We start from the raw sequence: 22,328 nt of genomic DNA, 5'->3' as shown, positions 1-22,328 counted from the left end.
TGGCCAGGGTGCATTCAGACCATCTATACCCTGCTTAAGTTGTAGAATAATGAGCTTGGAAGACAGCGTGTGCTATACTACTTCTTTAGTTTGAATTTTCTCCAGTAAACTCTATATATGCATGTTTTCCCAATAAACTCTACATATACATTACAACCACATGTTGTTCGTGGTGTGTGTTTGTAATTCTTCTGCAGCACACAGTCCATTTGCATGTTTGCAAGGATGTTATTGAAGAACCTGCTGTATATATGGTATTATGGGATTTTATATTTCTAAAGATACACACATGCACACATTCACAAAAGAGAGATTTAAGGAATTGGCTCAGGTGATTATGGAGGCTGTAAGTCCAAAATCTTCAGAGTAGGGAGAGAGGCTAGATACCCGTGGAAAAGTTGATGTTGCAATATGAGTGCTAAGGCAGATTGCTAATAGAATTTCCTTTTCCTTAAGGGATATTAGCCTTTTTTTCTTTCAAGGCCTTCAACTGAGTGGATGAGGCCCAACTGCATTGTGAGAGTAATTTGCTTTGCTCATCGAATACTGATTTAAATGTTAATGTTATCTAAATAAATACTTCATAAAAACATCTAGACTGGTGTTTGACCAAATACCTGGGTACCATGGCCTAGCCAAATTAACACATAAATCAGCCGTCACAAATTAGAAACCTACTGGTAAAGACTTAGAAAATTATTTTAAAAAATATTTCCCCCCATATTAATATAATCATGTTCAACATAATTTTTTAGAATAAACACATAGCGTAGCACTTTTTAGTCACACTGTACATTGAAATAGATATAAATAAATATCCACAACTCAGCCCCACCTACAGAATTTTTACTAAAAATTAGTAGTTAACACTGTTGATCAAACCCATTGTTTTTCCCATAGAGAAGCTGCTCTCCAAGTGAATACAGCTCAATGCAACTCAACAAGTGTTTGCAGAGCACCTGCTGAAAGTCAAGGAGAAGCCTTACTCACTTCCATATCAACTGTACCATTCACTTTCTGTCATGCACAACCTCCCAATATTAAATACCTTTTCACATTCGAAGGCCTGGATTCCTCAAGGTAATTTTCCAAGACAATAATATGCATCTTGAGACAGGGACTGTATCTTTTCTTTGTAGTCTCTGCAACATAGTGCACAAAGCACGTGCTTTAAAGTATTGGTTTGATATGTTAAAATGAAAATCCTTCTATTTCAGAAATCTTTAGAGAGAAATTCGGTCATTATAAAGCACAGACTCATTTTAGAAGAAAGATTTATTCACTTAGGTGTCAAAAGTGCATAGTACTAAACTGGGCATCAGTAGGACTGGCATTTCCTTCTGGCTCACTGGGAGGCAAAATTGGTCACTCAGGGCAAGGTGATCCTCCCTGCCCCTAGCAAAGGAGAGATTTGGACAAGCAAACTTTAAGACTGCAAAGATTCTAAGATTTGTAATTCTTTGAAATATTCTAGAAACCTATTTACATTTTGATTTCTCCTAAATTAGCTTGGTTCTGACATTCACACTGAGATAATACGTAAAGTATAATGAATATTGAAGTACTATCTTGAAACTGCTTTGCAATTTTCAGAAGAAAGTTCTTGTAGAAAGAAGAATTGTATAATTAATCATGGAAACCCAGATGGCACAAAATAAACAGAAACATTCTGGTGTTGTAGCATCCTGTTGTAGTTGAAAGATATTTTGAAAAATAAAAATAAAATCAGTGCTAATGGTTTTGAAAGGACTGACTTCTTTTTGTGCTTATGGCTGAACTTTCTGACTATTATCTATGCCGTTATGATTGACAGAATTATTCCAAATAGAATATTAGCAATCCAGCCCCAAATAGTGTCAAAACCTCCATGTCCAGAATGAGTATCAAACTCTCAACATAATCCACAATTACCAGACTCTCTTGCAAATTACAATTCTGTCATTTTTTATGGGAAATCTACAAGCACAGTAATTGCCTCTTAATAGGATACTTTTTTTTTAAAGGGGTCAAATTTAAACCATCTGTAGACAGATGGAAGAGAAAGTGGAATTAGGGCTGTTACCGAAAACTCTGCAGCTGTCAGGGTGTGTTTGAGGCAATCCTAGTGGTTCATTAGCAACAGGCAACACTACATCCAAGCTACAAGCAGGGCCTGGGGGGAGATGGGCATCCTTCTTACGGCTGGTTGTTTTGGCAAATGTGAGTGAGTGATGGCTGGACTCATCACTGCAGAACACTCTTCCCATGGGCCCAGACTGCAGATTCTACTCAAAGTCTTTGCTGTTCATTCTGGTCATCAAGCCACACTGTGCTTTTCAATCATTTCAGGGAAGAACCAACTCAGGCCCCAGGCACTGATTTCCTCACACCTCCTACGCCCACATTCTTTCTGTTATGATCATCACCCAACCTCCCCTGCTTGTTTTAACCTTTGAAGGGAAGGAGAAAAGAACAAAGAGTCCAATATGTCACAGGACTGGAACATTTTATGAAACACGACAAAACTAACCTGTACAGCAGAGATAGGATCCTTCTAGAGATACCAGCATCAATTTCACAGTGGATACAGCACCCACTCACTTCTCAGTTTCTGGCTTTTTCAAGTGAAAATCATTCTAGGTTTTATTTATTTATTTTTATTTTCTATTTTTCTGTTTCATGTAAACAAATTAAAGATGCCATCACTTGGTGTCTGGTAGAGCTTGCCAAAGTCAAGTGGATTCTTGGAACATTAAGTCCCCATTAAAAAGGAAGAGGAAAAAAAGACATACAAAAATCTTTGTTTACAAGAATATTCATCTCGCAGCCATTATTTATATTGTATCTCTGTTGATGCTTGGGAGTTCTTTTCTCTTCCTTCAGAACTCTTTCTAGTTTTTACTAGTGAGAAAAATTATTCTATATAAAAATTCCTCACTGTGGCCCAAATGACCTACTATTGTTTCCCAGGCTTGCCATGTGCCTTCCCAACTCCACACAGGCACGCACCACACACTTGCTGTTGAAGGTGCTGTGATACACTGACTTCCTTTGCCTCAATCTTACTCATCTTTTAAGACTCTTCAAAGCCATTTTCTACTCTATGAATAGCATTCATTACTTTCTGATCTTATAACCCACATGGTAAATAAATCTTGCCTGGGATTATAATTTTTCTGTGCTTCTACAATTTCCCTAAATAGACTCTTAGCCTCTCAGTGAGAAAGATCCTTTGATCTTAGTCATGTACAATATCTTTTCAGTAGGTACAATGTCTTTAGAGCACCTTATGCAGAGTAGGAGTCCATGGAAAGATGATGATGGCAATAATTTGAGGTCCTATTTGGAACAGAAAAACAGTTTTAAAATACTTGTGGAAATAGTTGCATCATATAATATTTTCAAGATGTCAGGGTAAAAATATGCTTAAAGATAAAAGTTCTGTGGGCTTAATTTTCACCATTTATCATGACTGAGTAGTATCTGTTTGCCTTTCATTTAAAGTCAATTTCCCTTTTCAACAAAAGGGTGAAATACAATGCAGTTCTCAGAGCTAGAACAAGAAAGTAGTTTAACCGTTACAACTTTGAAAGTAAAAAGAAGAGGCACTAATGGAAAGGTAGACAAAAGGCAAAAGAAAGAGCTTATAAGTAGAAAATATGAGGTTGGTCTCACACACACTCTTGTGGCACAGGGTACAGATTTAGTTCTGTACTAAGAATCGGTAAAAGTAGGGGCTAAGTAGGGTCTGACTTTCTCCATTGTGTCAATTGAGTTGGGAATGAGTTGGTAATGTTGACGGCTGTCCAAGAACATCACAGAAGTACTTCAACTGTTGGTAAGCCTTATGGCTACTAAAAGTCAGAGTAATTATTAATATGAGAGCTATTAATATCAATATACCAGTTGATACACTAGTTACCAGAATCTTGATATTTTTACCTTACATATATATTTGTGATTCATTTAGATTTAATCCAAACAATACAATTTGAAAATGTTGTATCCCAAAGCAGCAAAGACCACATCTGATAAATCCAAACCTGTTTTGGAAAGCAAAATAATGGTAAATATGACCCCCAAACTATTATATAAAACCTTTTTGATTTTAGGCAAGTAAAAAATAAAATTGGGTTTTTAAAAAGGATTCTATCTATCCAGATTTTGCTAATAAACTATGTTGGGTTTTTTGGTACCATTTTTATGGAGAGGGTTAACATTTGCTTCGTAACATTCTACAGAGCTTTCCTTCCACCCATCTAGCGCAGTACTTCCAGAAGCCAACTGGGAAATTCTTTTCTTTAAAGCCTCATAAGCACTATGGGAAGTGCTTGGTATCATCCTCAGGCTCCTCCCATGGGAAGTGGCCATGAGGTGATGCACAGTCAAGAAATGAACTCAAACTAAAAATTTCAGCGCATTCACTTGCTGTACCATTGGGTAAATTAATTAAACTTTTTCAGATTTCTTCTGAAACTCTTCCCACAACTGGAAAGGAATCTCTAAGTTTGAAATACCTCTATTCTCTCTCATTATTCTTTCCCAATCTCATTCTGGTCACAGAGGAAATAAAACCTCTTTTATCCAATCCATAACTATGCCTGTCTTCCTAGAAATCTTCACTCCTTGGTAAGGAGAAAAGTATTAACTTTTAGTTGTATCTAATTTGAAACTAAATAAGCTGTCTCTTTTAGCAGTATTTAGGTTCAGATATTCTCCTCCTACTTCACCTGCTATGAAGTTAAGCTTTTCAGACAGAGAAAAGGGAATGTTCACATGTCTTTGTGGTGGCTGTTAGTTTTGTATTATTTTAATTTCGTGAGAGGTACAATGGGGAGGACTCCTCCGACCTTTGGTTCTTTGCTGGATATGCACTTGCTGATATTTTTAATGTCACTCTTGTCCACTTTGTAGTTGGGCCTCGTACATGCTTCCTAAACTAAAGTTTGAGGTTTTAAACTTAGGGCTGTAATCAAGTCCTTCCAGAAGCATAGCCCTCTCCCACCTGGTTAGCTCAGCTTACCCAAGTTTTAGCTGGCAAAGATATACAGTTCTCTTCCGTTCATCTCTCTGGCCTTGACAAGAGTGTGACTTATGCCACTTCGGGAGGCTGCTCACAGATCTGGTGACCTCCTCCATGGTCTCCCTGCCATCAAAGAATGACAGGAGCTAGAGGGTGCCCACTGTGCTCCTCTTTTCCCACGCCACTCCACCTTGTCTACTAAACTGGCTGCCTCATGTTAGTGCAGGGCGCAGTGCATAGTGGATCCTCCCAAATTATTTCAATTGAAGTCACAAGTTCCTGTAACTTTCTACTCTCCCCTAATTATCTGATAGACTTTCCCCATCCTCAGGTCAAATCCAGAGTGGGAATACTGAGACATAAGTCAAATAGTTTCCTCTCTCCCCAACTCCATTCTCTGACCAAACATCAAGTCAGTGTGAAGTGTTTTTATGTATCACATTATCACTTTCCTTTCTCTTCTAACCTCAGAGAATGGTTGCCTTTTCTAACTTTCGGGAAACATCTAGTTTAGCCCTTCATATATAAACTGAGAATTAAAGATGTTAAAGTAATCTTTATTTTTCTCTGTGATGTTGGAACTTACAATCACTGTCTTGCTGTAAATCATTATTGATATAACTATTATCATCTTCTTTCTCTACATTTCTTCTGAAACATTTTCATCTTCTCACCCACCACTGATTCCCACATCACTGGACCTCAGATCAACCAGCATAATGGTTATATACTCAGAAAGGTAAAAGGAAAATTCCTTAATGCTTTTCAAATCATTTCTATTATTGCCATTATTATCTACCTTCTCTTTCCTGTTCAGATGCATATATTAACTGCTCATCTAAAAACATCTACCACTAGGAAATCCAATAATCAGTGAAAAGTGTTTGTGCAAAATCTTAATTTTGTATTTCCTCCACTGCCTCTCAAACTCTCCAATAAATCTCATTTATTGTTATAATTTATTCCATAATGCCCTACTCCAGAAACCACAGTCATTCTTGACTTCATCATTTCTTCCCTTTCATCCTCCCCTTCAATTAAGAAATTACTCTCAAGCATACTGCCTCCCGAGTAATCTTTTCAAAATTCCTAGGAAACTGATTAACCTCTAAACTTCCAAGGATTCTATTATGTGTAGAACATGCTATTGGGACAGGCAATTGAGATTATGAGTAGATATAAATTCTTAACGAATGGTAGCAATCATTCTTATTTCTCTCTTTCAAAAGCTTCTCTTTTCCATTAGGTCCTACTATATTATGTTCACCCTTTTAGCAGAGTATTGAAGGTTGTTCATCATCAGCTGCCATCACCTGTGCACACTCAGTGCTTGAGCTGCTTTGAACATTTTTTTCCATTCATCACAATGCATCATTTTTTAGGTATGCTCTCCAGTGCTTGTCCCATTACTTAAAATGGATTTCTGCCTGTGCTTACTTTCCAGCTCTTCCATCTACTCCTTGAGTAACCTTGGGAAAATTTCATAATCTCTCAAGGCCTCAGTTTCATGTCTTCAAGAGTAGCATAATCTCTCAAGGCCTCAGTTTCATGTCTTCAAGAGTAGCATAATCTCTCAAGGCCTCAGTTTCATGTCTTCCAGAATAAAGATAAAAATGAAACTTGACTCATGGGATATTTCTCAGCATTAAACAAAATAACACATTTTGTTATTAGAAATTAGCCAATAGTAAGTGTCCAATAAATTTTAGCAATTAACTAATAATTATATAATTAATTCATTATTTATTGTCATGATCAATATCATCATCATCAATGGCAACAACAGCAGTAGCAGCAATGGCATATTAGCAAGCTTTTACTTAAACTTCAAGATCTGGATAAAATATCATCTCATCTGTAAATATCGTTTCAGGGAAATCTGCCCATTCACACCATTGTGGTGTCCATCTCCTCAAGTTTTTCAGCATCCTGAGGACAGAAAACACGAGAAGTTTTCTTTGCATTTCTAGTACCTGGTCAATGATTGCATGTAGGAGGTTCTCAATAAAACATCACTGCAGAAACACACACACACACACACACACACACTTATTGTTATTAGGGTGTGTCAATTTCTTCTAATATCTACCATGTATTCAGCCACTCAGTTCTTCAACAGCCCTGTAATTAGGTGCTCCTATTATCCTTCTCCTTGCACAGGTGGGAAACTGAGAGGTGGAGACATTAGGTAACTTGGTCACAGCCGAGACTAAAACTAAGGTTGTTTGGCTCCAGATTCTGCGTGTTTAACCTTAATGCTACATTCCTTTTCCTGGGCAAGAAGGAGGATCTAAGGACAGAGGATGGAATTGAATGCTCCCTAAAATACCCTCTGTTCTAACAGTCTATGATCTTAGGATTTTTCTTAGAGTCTTTGAAACTAATATATATGGAATAATATATTAAAATATCTATTATTTCTTCAGAAATTTTATGAAAGGTTCTAACTATTCATCATATTTATTCACTGAGCATGTCTAGTCTGATAAAAAGACTACGTTTCTCATCGATTAACCATAGCATGCCTACTCATACTCTCACCTATTTATAATTTTATTCAAGTTCATTTTCTTGAAATAAGTGGTTCTGTTTTAAATGAAATCAATTAGAGAAAAGTCACCTTGAATTTGGAATTTTATAGTTCCCAAAGTTTGAGCTTTAACTGCCTTCACCTCGAATAAAAGTTTTATTCCAGGTTTGACTGTTAGACTGATACATTCAAAAACACATAGCATTCAGTTTGGTGCTCTTGGAAAGATTATGGTGTACGCAAAGAAGCAGGCATTTCTCTCATTGTTTTCATCAACTACCAGTATTCCTGAAAAGAAGCAACAAATGGATAAAGTTTGTTTATATAACTGTTTGTTAACATAACTATTGGGGAAGTAGTGATAGAAGAAAAACCGTCTGATGAAGCAAGCTGAAAGTTTTGTTTTGTCATGTCACTGATATAAAAGAGGATTGCCAGCTAAGATTGAGTTAGCAATCTCTATTCCATTCCAAATTATGACAGCCTTGAGAAGTAACTGACAACCAAGCAAACTTAAAACCAAGAGGAAAAATGTTTATGAATAGAAAAATATTCTGAATGATTGCTATCCAAATTATCATTCAATTAAAAAATTTAATAGGCTGAAAGCTTATAAAGAATATTATATTGAAGAGTAAGAGTAGTTATCAAAAATATCACAAGTTATATTAACCTCCCTAAAAAGGAGATAAAACTTAAAGGAGAAAAAAAAAAGTCACTTCCCCTAAATAACTGAACAAACCTATTTTCCAATATATCATTGAAGCACCATACTAACTGGAATCTTATCTCTACATAAATATTTTGATTATCTTATAACAATTTTCCTAAAGATATTTCTACTTTACTATTTGAACAGTTTAGTTTACCTTTCTAGAGTTTATGAGTGAGCTCATTACCAGTGAATCAAAAATGGTAAAAAGTATACTTTGTTCCATAATCTCTTGAAAAGTAAACTAAATAGTTCAAGTAGTGTATTAGTCCATTCTCGTTCTCATACTGCTATAAAGAACAACCTGAGACTTGGTAATTTATGAGGAAAAGAGATTTTGATTGACTCACAGTTCTGTAGGCTGTACAGGAAGCATGGCTGGGAGGCCTCAGGAAAATTACAGTCATTACAGAAGGCCACGGGGAAGCAAGCACCTCTTACCATGGCAGAGCAGAAGAGAGAGAGAGTAAAGGGGGAAGCGCTATACACCTTTAAACACCCAGATCTCATGAGAACTCACTCACTATCACAAGAACAGAAAGGGAGATGTCTGCCCCCATGAGTCAATTGCCTCCAACCAGACCCCTCCCTAACATTAGGAATTATAATTCAAGGTGAGATTTGGGTGGGGACACAGAGCCAAACCATATCAAATAGTAAATTAAGTAAAATCTTTAGGAAAATTCTTACAAGATAATTCAAATATTTATGTAGAGATAAGATTGAGCTTGGTATATACTCACTCATTACCAGTGAATTACCACTGAAACCAACATGATTGGGCTGCAACTACCAAAAAAATAACCAGCCAGCGATATTAGTGATAAGTGACTGTAATTTAACTGTTCTTTATTTCCTGAGCCTCCATAAGTTTTCAGACACAAGCTATATCCCTCATCTGTTTCTTTCATGTCTGTGTCTAGATGCTGAAAATTTCTGCCAAATATCTTGGTAACATTTAGAACTGTTTTCAAAAGAAAGAAAGGCACTATTAAGACCAGCTCTAAGCTCAAGCAAGGTAGGTTATATTCTGTGCATAAATTTGAGATGTGCTAACAGGCAGTTTTGTCATCATAAACCTTTCAAATTATCTAAAATTCCAAGAAATAGAATCAGCCCCCCAAGACCGATTTTATTTTTCCTAAAAATAAAGACAAAATAACATATATTAGCATGCATTTAGCGTTTTTCAGGAAATACTATTTTGGCTCACTTCGCCAAATAACAACCATCTTTGACATCATGTGGTAGAGACATGTACATTTACATTAAGATAGCTTACATTTTACAAGACATATTTGTATCCATTAGCTTACTCGGACTTCATCTCAACTGAGAAATTATAAGAAATTATAATATTTTGAAGACAATGAACCTAACGTTAAATATATTGGTGAATATTTTAAACATAAAATAAAATCCCAGTAAGTAAATGAAACAGAGTCAAAATCCAATTCTTCAGGTTCCTATTGTAGTGATACAACACTCTGCCGCTCAAGCTCCAGACATATATGAATGAAAAACATCAGTTGGCCCTCTGTACATGGGAATATGCTGGCTTAATTTCTGGCTATAGGTACATTTGCAGAGTATGATGATATTTACAAATAACACCTATCTTTTAGTTGGTTATTTTCTCCAAAGAACTATAAATATCTTATGGCAAAGAAAAAAATCGGAGGATAGGAACATGTACTGGGTACTGATTATTTATCAAGCACGGTGTAGGGCACTTTATATCTGTTCACAATTTAGATTTTCTCAGAAAGAGTGACTGTTTTTTTTTTAGGTAACTTACTTAGTATGTGATCCCAGAAAGCAATATCGGAGGATCCAGGAATGTGGGGTTGAAAGGAAGAGATGCCATTAAAGGGTGGGTTATGACTGTGAGCCACTGGGGCTCAGTCCTGTTGGAGACCCTGAGAATAGTTTCTCTGTAGAACAGGAAACTGGGCCTTTACCATGACCCTTGTCCATTACTGTTGAGGGCTGTGCCCCAGGGCAGTTAATCATCTCCCACTCCCAAGCTGCCCTGTGTGCGGAGTGAGGGTCCACACAAAATGTAAAGAAGAAAAGCAAAGAAGAAAAGTGGGATGCTGCTGGAGTGCCTGGGAACTTTCCATAAATGCAGCTAAAATTGCAAGTTGGCTTAGGGACTCTGACACAAAACACACAAGTTGTCTGCTATAGTATCCCTTTTCACTGCTCAGAAATGCTACTGCTCCATATTAAGTTCAACTTTTTAACAACTCTGAAGTCGTGCCTTGTCACAACCTCTTTAAATATGAATTTAAAATAGGTTTAGTAGAGCGAGCTACAGTTCCTGCTACAGTCTGAGTCCCAAGGCTGTAACTGATATTCATTATCTTCCTTCTCTACCACCCACTGTACAGCTTTCTTTCACATGGCCAGCCTTACAGCTGGCATACAGCTGCTTGCCTGATAGAGAAGCACAGAGCTTCAACCCTTAGTTGTCTGAGTCTTCTTTGTCTTGCCCCTTATCAGATTGTTGCTGCTGCAAATGCCTGTTTTCTTTTTTCACTGAGCATAGAAACACCACGAGAGGCTACAGTGATTTCCCTCAGTGCCCAGTGCACTCCTCCACACCTCCATTATATGGCAGCAAACATAGAAATGCATGATAACTAGGGTTAAACATCCTGTCAATCTAGTAACTGTTTTTAAAAATCATTTATGTGCTGGTCTACAGGCATGAGGAGTCCAAAATGACTAAGCAAAAGCTAAAGGTTCAGGTTTGAAGAAACCCTTACTGCATTTCCTAGAAGCAAAATTTCCCCTATTGGGGTTTAAGACCTAGAATCTACAGAGTCTAAACGTGCAGCAGTGAGAAACACAAGTTCCACAGTGGGTCATTTGTGGGGACGGGGGGATGGTGAGTGTGGTCGATGCTTCTTTCAACATTTCATTCTCTCACCTGTGTATTCTAGTACTAGGAACAAGGCATCATATAATAGTTATTTCTTAAATATGAACATCACGTCACAAAAGGCAGTATCCTAACCAAATAAGGTGCCATCCCCACAGTGACAACTAGGCTGAACCTTTATGAGGCCATTCTTACATTCTATCAGATTGTCTATGATCTTGTGATTACACACTTTCAACTTGGATATAGCATGACTTTTGATTTACTATCATGACTGGGAGTGGGTGGGAAATCTCAGGTTTGTTCTTGGTATTTCACCCTAATGTCTCTTATTCTACAAATCAGAAATCTAATGTAAGGGTTCTATCAGATCCTAAATTTGATTAAAATTCAGAGTCTTGAGAAATAACTACAGGGTGATTCCATGGAAAAATTAAACTCATTATAAGCTAGATTTAAAGCCGGAAATCTACTTACCGTCTGGTCATAATACACAAGGAATTAGAGTTACTTTAATTTCAGTATGAAATAAGACTCAGTTTTCAACATCTCTTTGAAAGAGCTTGATTATGCGTTTTCCTTAATGTGCGGTTACTCTGGTACAAGACCATAGGTACTTTTGAGGACAGACTGATATAACATTTATGATATATGCTTTTGGTGGCATAAAAGGGTCTTTCCTCAGGAGTATCTATCCTCATTTTGGTCAATAGATCCTATCTGAGGCTATCTCAGATCTGAAAACTGGGCCAGGAGTAGTAAATTTTTACTGCAGAATCTGATAGAACTCTTGGCCTACTACCTTTTGAGTTTTTTCTTGGTTTTATACATGTCAAGCAACATCTTTGATGGCTGCACATTTATTTCACTTCCAGATATACACTACAGTCTTTTAACCATTGCCAGAGTTCTCTGTAGGTTAAGGAACCCTTTTTTTGCCATACAGATATGTCTGTGCCTTCTAGTATTGCTTCTGATGGCTAAGCGCCACCACTTTGTTTTCTGCTATTCCGGAACTCTGTCAGCTTCATTGACACTAGGGGCCTTTGTCTCATGGAACTGTCTCCTTCTGTCAATTCTGTACAGCAGAGGATAGCCATACTGCACTTCTCAAAAACGTTAGTGTTTTCTTCAATAATGCATGCCTCCTTGGATGCAGAAACCCAGGTATTCCTATCCCAGATATATCAGTCTCTTACTTCTTTTGTATCTTGGCCATGATTTTAGCTTAAAAGACGCACTAAGGCTGAACATTGTCTCCTTTGCAGTTTTGTTACCTTTACTATTAAATCTTGGGCTTGAATTTCAGCAAAGTCTACCCAGAGCTATAGAAAATAAAAGTCTTTTAAAAACTTCCATGAAGGTCTTCTGGCCAGTGTCATTCTGTTTCTCCAAGGTTTTCAATGCAAATTAAATGTCAACTAATTTTACAATATTTTAAATTATCATTGCCCCCACAAAGTTCAAGTATCAGAGCTACTGCATAAGCCAATGTTTCCCTCTTTTCTACCTTTTATCACATTTCAAAATAGGTAACAGTATCAGTAATTGTGATGCCAAACTAGTTTGAGAAAAGGACTTATGAAAAGGTAGTTTATTTGAAAGCATCCAAGAAACAGAAGCAGAGGGGTGGGGAAAGTAAACTAAGAAAAGAGGAAAGCTTGTTACCACTGAGAACAACTGGAATTCCATCTGCTATGGGCCTCAGTCCCTCTAAAGAACTATGTTGATGCAGGGCATGGTAGCTCATGCCTGCGATCCTAGCATTTTGGAAGGCTGATGGGGGTGAATTGCCTGAGCTCAGGAGTTCGAGACCAGTCTGGGAAACATGGTGAAGCCTTCTCTCTATTAAGATACAATTAGCCAGGCATGGGGCACATGCCTACAATCCCCACTACTTGGGAGACTGAGGCACAAAAATCACTTGAACCTGGGAGGTGGAGGTTCCAGTGAGCCAAGACTGGGCCACTGCACTCCAGCCTGGGTGACAGAGCAAGACTCTGCCTCCAATAACAAACAAATGAACAAACAAACAAAAAACTGTGTTGAATGTGTTGAATGCAGTTTTAAATAAAGAACGAGAGCCTAAGACCTTTCTACCAGTTCTTGAGATCTGCTAATTGAGTGATTTGTCCGTGGCTCGTCCCTGCATTTCTGGGCTGCTTTGTTGGTGTTATCTGAGTTGCAGTAATAGAAAAGCATAAAAAGCAGTGTTTCCCTTATATCCATGTTCTCATTTATATGCACAATATCAATTTTACAGGTGAAAAAAATTAGGTTTGGACACCGAAGTAATTTACTCAAGGTCACACAAAAAGTAAATGACAATGCAATTAAAGCTTACTAGAAATGAAGACTTTTTAGCCCAAATCCAGACCTAGTGAACCGGAATTTGCAATTTCACAGGAACCTTAGGTGTGACATATGCATATTTAGGTTTGCTATGCACTAGTTTAAAATGTTGTTCTTAAATGTCCATAGCCATAAATCAAACAAGAACATCTTATATATAACGGCAAGTTATCCAAAAGATACATTGCTCTTTCCAGTCAAACCAAAGAGATTCTCCCAGGTATTCTCTTTTTCAAACATTAATTAATTAAGAGTATTTGGCTGTAAGGAACACAATGCAATTTTTTTCAAGATGTTTGTGTGGATTAGGGAGGGACTGGAAGGTGATACAGAAGGTACACTATTGCCATAGGTAAGTAGCATGCCAGGTGGAGCTGAGGAGGCAATGGGCATAACTCAGGAACAACATATTTGAGAGTGTATTATTTTCCTATTGCTGCTGTAAGAAATTAGCACAAATTTGCTTAAAACAGCAGCACACATTTTTCCCATTGTTCTGTTGGTTCAGCTAGTTTCTCTGCTCTGGATTTCAGCTTTTTCACAAGGCTGAACTAAATATATTGGCAAACTGGTTTCTTATCAGGAGGTACCGGGAAGTGTCCACTTTTCTTTTCTTTTCTTTTTTCTTTTTTTTTTTTTTGAGACGGAGTCTCGCTCTATCGCCCAGACTGGAGGACAGTGGCACGATCTCGGCTCACTGAAAGCTCCGCCTCCCGGGTTCACGCCATTGTCCTGCCTCAGCCTCCGTAGTAGCTGGGACTACAGGCGCCCACCACCACGCCCAGCTAATTTTTTTTTTTTTTTTTTTTTTTGTATTTTTAGTAGAGATGGGGTTTCCCCGTGTTAGCCAGGTTGGCCTCGATCCCCTCGTGATCCGCCCGTCTCGGCCTCCCAAAGTGCTGGGATTACAGGCATGAGCCACCGCGCCCGGCCGAAGTGTCAACTTTCAAACTCACTTGGACTCTTCTAAGAATCCAGTTTTTTGCACTTGTGTTAGGGGGCTGTCGTTAACTCCCAGTGGCCGCTGAGGTCCTTGCCTGTGGATTCCTGCTTCTCAAAGCCAGCAAGGGCGTGTCAAATCTGCTCATGCTTGGAATCTCTCTGACTTTTCCTTGGGTCACATATCTCTTGCTTCACCCTCTGCCACACTTTTTTTTTTCCTGAAAGCCAAAAAGATTCTTTGCTTTAAGGGGTGATGTATTTAGATTGAGAGCCCACCTGGATAGTGGGTCCTCTCCCCTCCCGTTTTAGATTCTCAGGCAGTTCTTTATAGCAGTGTGAAAACGGACTAATACACAGTGCTTTGTGCTTGGAAAACGGCATGAAGGAGATGGAGGTAATGTGCGATGACTGAGAGAATTTGTAGAACAGCAAAAACCACTGAAATGCCATTCTTCAATAGAGGCACCAGGTAAGCCAGCAGCACACAACAAAAATAAAAACAATAATTTTGCATTTCCATTTTCTTGTTTTTTCCACTTGTTACAGGCTGTTAAAGTGGCAGTTGCCTGTTATAGTGCATATCACCTTAACTTACCCACCAATAAATCTCAACATAACCCAGCTATTTATGTTTTATAATTCTTGCCTATGGACAGAAACAAAATGTCATTCTCCAAAAGTGTCTTTTCAACAAATACATAGGGAGAAATTAGAACAAAGTATGGACCAAAAGCATTCAAAAATGACTCAAGCTCAGAACACATTTGAACCCACTGAAGAGTACAAGTTGTAGTTAAATTAATCTTACCACTAGGGGAGGGTTGACATTTTTCTTATACATATTCAGATGTCTCCTCTTCTATGTGAACCAGAAACCTTAGGAAGAAATAAGGCAATAGACACAAAGCATGACACATATGGTGGGCATTTGCTTGAACTCTCAGACTGGAAGATTTTTTTTTAGAAAAAAGAAAAAAATTCAGTAAATCCTCAAAAAATTTTTCATTCAGGTCCATACCTTGCTACAGGTTTTATTGCTTCAGTTCTAGTTAAGGATAGTGTTTATTTTTAGATTCATTTAATACCCAGAAACACAAGCAATGCTGAAGGTCACACTACAATCTGAAACTGTCTCAAATGTTTCTGGTTTGGCTTCACCAAAAATGCATTATGCCAAACACTTTTCGTCCTTAATTTTTAAACCCTTGTATGTTTTTAAACAAAATGCAATCCACATGTTTCTTACACATTTACACTTAACTCATCAAATTCCTCTTGTGTAAAGAGTGACTTGGAGACCAAAAAGGAATTGGAAATTATTTATTTGCCTTTGAAGCTTTTTTTGTTAGGAAAGGAACAGCGTGTTCTTTGGAATAATTCACATTAGACAACCAGGTGTTCAGTAAACCTGAAATATTTAAATAACATAATCTAGAAAAATCTACATTTGTCTGTTCATCTTGCTTCCCCTTGATTACTAATATAATGATAATATTCATCATTTTTCATCATCATCAGTCGTAATGCTATTATGTTATCATTTACTATTATTGTTGTTAGAAACTTAATAGGAACATTGGTGGTATTATAAGCATAAGTGCATTTTGTAACTTCTTCATTTATGAAGTACTTTTACCTCACTCATTCTTAAATACTTCAGTAGTGAAAGCCTTCCATGCTCTGTAGTATATACCTTTTTTCATTTCCTGTTGCGCCATCAGACTGAGAAAAAGAATTTGCCAATTGCTTTACGTCCTCCACAAAGCCTCTTTTTGGTGATATCAATCTCATTTCTACTTTTATGACTTTGAGTGTTCTCTTCATCTCCCTTAACTTTTTTCACCTTCTCTTTTCAGAGCCTTGTTTGTCTCTGTCTTTATAATTTGAATTAAGACTAATATCATCCTAAAATATTTCATTGCTGAGCTGAAAGTTCCTGTCATAACGCTTCCATTTATGTCTTCTTTATAACAGTGGATGCAACATTGTTTTAATTTGCTTATTCTCTGAATTATACATTGTTACAGATCTCCAGGTGTGCCTAAAGAATCTTGGGGATGTGTCTTCTGAAGCTAAAGAGACCCCTAAGCATCCTGCAAAGTAAGTTCTATGTCTTTTTTCTTCACGTCTTCTCATGGCGTTTACTTGCAATTGTTACAACATACAAAATCAGTCAATGTGCCTGCTTGGCACTGTATTTGTTATATGACATGTGCTATTTGTTTTCTCCATGAAAATATTACAATAAAATACTAGATAAAAGTAAATTTTGACCCTGTCTCCCTTTAAAATTAGATTACATGTTTTTAATTTAATATGTGAAGCTTAGGCCTTTATATATTATATATATATATTTATATATATATATTTTAAATTTAACTAAGGTCTTGAAAACATTGCACAGAAAAAGAAAAGTGGTGAATAAGATCTTAATCAAAATTACCATTTATCAAATATTGTTCATTCATAAAACAGATACCAGTGCACAACAATTTGGGACATAGCTTAAGCTTTCTGCTCGATGCTGGCGACAAAGAGGAGAAAGACAACTTCTACTCTCAGACAACTTAGTCTGCTTTAGGAGTTACAAACACAGACAATTTCAACACTGGATGAAAATGATGGGACAAAGGTAAAAGGAGAGAGGAATGCATCTCAGCTGAGTTTCAGAAAAAAAAAAAGTTTTGAAGAGATCTCAATGTTAGGTAAGCTGTGCAAGTTAATCAATATAACGTGCAGGCAAAACAGAAAGCCTTTATTTAATAGACATAGTTATTAGTTAATAACAATAACAATGAATCCTTCTAATGATTGTAGAGGCAAATACTGTTATTATCCTAATTTTACAAGTGAGAAAACGTAAGTTACATATAACATTTAAGTGAGGCCGGGTGTGGTGTCTCATGCCTGTAATCCTAACACTTTGGGAGGCCGAAGTGGGTGGATCACTTGAGGCCAGGGGTTTAAGACCAGCCTGGCTAACATAGTGAAACCCCGCCTCTACTAAAAATACAAAAATTAGTTGGGCATGGTGGTGCACACCTGTAGTCCCAGCTACTCGGGAGGCTGAGATGGGAGAATCTCTGGAACCTGCCCAACCAGGGCCACAGAACAAGAGTCTATCATCTCAGAAAAAAAAAAAAAAAAAAAAAAAGTTAAGTGAATTGCCCAAGGACAACAGCCAACAGCTGACACAGCTAAGAATTAACTATATGCAGTATTCACCCAGAGCCCCAGCTCTGAGCCCCTACATGAAGCTTCCAATATGGAACTTACCCACTCATGGAAAAGCAGCAAACAGTCAAGGAACAGCAAGTGTTTGGCATTGCCTCAGGGCAAGCTACATCTGAGATAATGTCAAGAGATGAATGAAGCTGAAAAAGTAAAGGGGAACAGTGTTATACAGAAAAACTAGGATTTTATCTTAAATGAGTCATTATAATCCTAGGAGTGACAGGGTGTTATTTCAATATTGGGAAGAAAATTCTGACAGGATCTTGGGATGTGGAATATAAAATGGCTAAATTGACGGTCAAAAGACCTGCTGAAAGGTATTTGTGGTAATACAAGTGAACAAGAGAGGAAATACGATTGGAGGGGAGCTGAAACTTACAAGTATTATTCTACAAGTGAATCTTTTAGGACTTGGTAAGCTGCTGGTGCTGGACAAAAGAAAGAAGGTAATGTCTGGAGTGATACCCATGAGTTTCTGATGACAGCAACATTGTCGATAGTAGCCAATCTCTGAAATAAGGAAGAAGAAAAAGAGACTCAGAAATTAGAAAATGCGGCCAGGCGCGGTGGCTCACGCCTGTAATCCCAGCACTTTGGGAAGCCAAGGCGGACGGATCACAAGGTCAAGAGATCAAAACCATCCTGGCCAACATGGTGAAACCCCATCTCTACTAAAAATACAAAAATTAGCCAGGCGTGGTGGTGGGCGCCTGTAGTCTCAGCTACTTGGGAGGCTGAGGCAGGAAAATTGCTTGAACCTGGGAGGCGGAGGCTGCAGTGAGCCGAGATGACGCCACTGCACTCCAGCGTGGTGACAGAGTGAGACTCCATCTCAAAAAAAAAAAAAAAAAAAAAAATTATAAAATGCTCACTCACAATACAATGTCAAGAGAGGAGTTTGAAACTTTGTATTACCTTTTTAAAAATGTGTATTTAATATATACATAAGCTCTGCTGAAAAAACATACAGCCACTAATTGTGAATGGCAAAATTTATTCAAATTTTTAATTTTCATCTGTATTTTCTAAATTTTCTGTAATGACTATGCATTAATTATATTTCTATTGAACTAAAATTAAATTTTATCAGAAGTCTTCTATTTTTATTTTTTCCATCAGCTTTATTGAGTTACAACTGACAAAAATTGAATTTTTTTAAGGTATACAACAAGATTACTGGAAATATTTTAAACAGTGATGTTACTTACTGTTGCCTGGTATAAACTTCCTGAAAAACAAAATACAGCACTTACCAAAAATAAATGCTTTATTAACTTTAGATCAGAAATTCTCTTCTTAGGAAGCTATTTAAGGTTTTACATAATTGCCATCTATTTGTCTATAAATATCTTTATTGTTATGACATTTATAATACTGAAAAATTGGCATCAACAATTGGGTTATTGAAATGAATTATAGGATGAATGTGTTAATATATATTACTCATTAGAATAGTTATTTACAAAAGTATTTAGTTACCAGAAAAAATATTTGTGATATATGGAAATGGCAGGGTATTTATTTTTCTTTCTTGTATGCATGTAGGACAAGGTGATACTGATTTTCTTCTTTGACTTTGTTTTGTACATTTTGAAATCTATGTAATGTACCTACATATTAGTTATAAAATATGTCAATAAAAAAACATTTCATTTGTAACCTGAGCAGTGTTATTGCCTTTTATTCATTTCAAACAGGAAGCCAACAAGGCCTGCAAAAGTCACCTAGATCATGAAATTGACTATGTCAGGGGAGGCAATTCGTCACAATCGTGTTTGAAAATGAGGATAAGCATGGAGAGCCAATGATTACATTTCACAATGTCCTTCATGGGTATGTGAATATGATAGTAGGAATCTTAGCTCTTCACTTAAAGAAAGAAGCATTAAAATTTGGAATTTTAGAGAGTGAGATGATAAAAAGATACGTGGTATGGTATTACCACCTTCTTGGAATTTCTGAAAAACCATGTTCAGGACCCAGACATAGATAACTGACTCCTTCATTTGAATTTTAGGTAGGTACTACCTGTGTTATTGTGTTTAGTTTCTGAGATAAATTGATAAGCATTCAGAAGTGCCTGGTGATATGAGTTGACTTCTATAAAAAATGTGATGCTTGAGGTAATCATGTTTTCTGTTTTGTCCCATGAAAGTAACAGAATTTCTAGAAAATTAATTTGTTATTATGTCTCAACCTTAATCAGTTGTTGAAGAAAAAAATAGCTATTTTAGATTAATTTGATAGATTCAAAAATCCTAGGGTGCTAAAATGACTCAAATTATGGTATTCAAATAGGAATATTTTTAACTGCATGTCAATTGCACACTTGCATGTTAATTCTTTAGTATTAATGAAGCTAATATTTACTGAAAGACTAATATATGCGGATATTTTAAATACATTGTCCCAGTTAATCCCCAAAATAAACAACACTCAGAGATAGCTCAGAAATTGGGCTTGAAGTATTTAAATGCTTGGTTATGTGGTCACTTGAGTAGTGAGCACAGATCCATTAGAGAAGCAGGTAGTATTATTTACATTTGGTAAATGAGGGAATTAAGGTTGAGAGAGTGTAAATACCTGGCTCAAAGTCACATTACTGGAATACACAAGTGCCGGAATCAAGATTCAAATAAAATTTGCTTTAAGCCTCAATACCCACACTGTATCTGCATTCTTAGAAAACAGTATGGTGCTTCACATCCTTTAAAGACACTGGAGAATTTGACATCTTAATGATTAATTTCTTCTTTATAAAGTGCACATGTAAAAATATAGATAGCTGTTAAATATTAATATTTCTTGTACTGCTTAATGTTTGTTCCCTCTGTAGTCATACTTTTCATATAGAACTGTTGACAATGTAATTTTTATAGTATGTAACTTTTCATATGTTCTATATATTCTTGTACTGCCATTATTTGATTTAGTCATTTTGGATTAAAGAAAAGTAATTCTTTTCTAGAATTAAAACGTGTCTTTTCATTCCTACCTCCCTTCTTCCTTCGTTTTTTCCATCTCTTTCCATCGTTCATTTCTTCTTTCCTTCCTTTTTAAAGCAATTTCACTTACTTTTCTTTTTAAAGCAATTTCATTTACCTTTCTTTTTAAAACAATTTACACCTTTTAGGGTTGGGTAAGGGAAGATTTGAAATGGAAGTTGGTATGGATTTTCATTCTGTAGGGTTATTTACCTTACAACGAAAAAAAATGGGCAAAATGCTTTGCTTCAGTGGCTTGAAAAAAATTTATATTGGAATTTGTTCTTCAGTTTTATCTGTTTTTATGAAGTAAGGATTATTGTTCTCTTTTTGCAAATAAAGTCACCTGAAACTTTGAAAGATTAAATAGTGTACCCAAAATCATTCAATAAGTGAGCATTCTGAAAGTGAGTGGTTTTCAACCCAGATCTTCCCTGTGTCAATACTCATGATTACTCACATTGTTTTTTCTTTATTCTAAAAGACAGATTTCAGATATGAAAGTGTATTTGAAATTACTTATTTTGACTATTTTAATTCATGTTTTAGGAAACTATATCCCAGAAGAGTTAGGCCACTTCCTTAAGATCATGCAACCTACTTCTACAGTACCATCAATATGAAGGTGATTGCTTTTTCTCCACATTTTAGAACTAACTAATTTTGCCCAATTCTTTGGCTTACTAGGTTTGAATGAAAAAATATAGACTCCTGAAGTGAGGAGATAAATTAGAAAGGGTTGTGCAGTCCAGACAAATTATTATTTTGTGCCAGCAAAACTACACCCCTGCTTCAGCATCAGATATGAGAGTGAAAGTATTAGAGGTAGATTTCTTATTTATTTATTTATTTATTTATTTATTTTGAGACAGAATCTTTCTCATCACCCAGGTTGGAGTGCAGTGGCACAATCTCGACTCACTGCAACCTCTGCCTCCTGGGTTCAAGCGATTCTCTTGCCTCAGCCTCCTGAGTAGCTGGGATTACAGGCGTGCTCCACTATGCCTGGCTAATTTTTGTATTTTTATTAAAGACAGGGTTTCACCATGTTGGCTAGGCTGGTCGCAAACTCCTGACCTGAGGTAATCCACCTGCTTCGGCCTCCCAAAGTGCTGGGATCACAGGCATGAGCTACCACGCCCAGCCTGGAGGTAGATTTTAACTCCCTCTGTCAGCTTCTGCTCAATACCCTTGTGCTGTGTACCAATTCATGACCTTTTGCAGTAGTCTTCAAAGAGAGACACTTCAAAGACAGTTCTTTGGTCTCTTCTTAAGTGGTGTCTTCTTTCATATATGTGACCTAATGTTGCTTTGTTACCCCAGTCTTCATTTTGGGGGGATTGTTGTTGTATTACCACAACTAAGGTTCCAACGGTTTCTTTAACTATTGCTCCTAGCCACAGCCTGTTCTTATGTCAATTTCAACAGGGCTTTCATCCTGAGGGCTATGAGCAAGCATCCTGTTAGATTGTCAAATGAACTCCAGACTTCATTGTAAAAAGTCCTTTCTTGGCAGGCCCTTCAAGCCTATAGTTAATTACCTTTTAAATCACATGATTTTAACATTGTAGGCCAACACTAAACATCTCATTTTATGAATTACAAACAATAAAACCTTTTTACGTTCCACATTGAAAATCAGCAACTCACATGCCTCTAAACTAGTAGTTCTCTAAGTGTGTTTT

General features: G+C 36.8%; 1 long non-coding RNA gene across 5 annotated transcripts, besides 1 other annotated feature; it reads left to right on the top strand.

Annotated features, from left to right (window-relative positions):
- Nucleotides 1-288: 288 nt before the first annotated feature.
- On the top strand, nucleotides 289-21,479 carry LOC105377196 (uncharacterized). Of its 5 annotated transcripts, XR_001740802.2 has the most exons (6): nucleotides 289-1,080; nucleotides 9,168-9,262; nucleotides 16,453-16,525; nucleotides 16,901-17,130; nucleotides 19,357-19,492; nucleotides 21,193-21,479. It is a non-coding gene; the product is annotated as an uncharacterized LOC105377196 (long non-coding RNA). The 5 variants fall into 5 exon arrangements; XR_002959628.1 differs by lacking the exon at nucleotides 21,193-21,479 and having other exon boundaries at nucleotides 19,357-20,669; XR_001740803.2 differs by lacking the exons at nucleotides 9,168-9,262; nucleotides 21,193-21,479 and having other exon boundaries at nucleotides 19,357-20,669.
- Nucleotides 10,565-10,765: a silencer, noted in NCBI's record as "peak4737 fragment used in MPRA reporter construct". NCBI's record gives its function as "represses an SCP1 promoter by STARR-seq MPRAs in K562 erythroleukemia cells {active_cell/tissue: K562}" and the evidence as "EXISTENCE:reporter gene assay evidence [ECO:0000049][PMID:32103011]".
- Nucleotides 21,480-22,328: the final 849 nt, after the last annotated feature.

This window comes from Homo sapiens, chromosome 3, assembly GCF_000001405.40.
Source record: "Homo sapiens chromosome 3, GRCh38.p14 Primary Assembly".
Lineage (NCBI taxonomy): Eukaryota > Metazoa > Chordata > Mammalia > Primates > Hominidae > Homo > Homo sapiens.
This window is presented reverse-complemented; position numbering and strand designations above follow the sequence as displayed.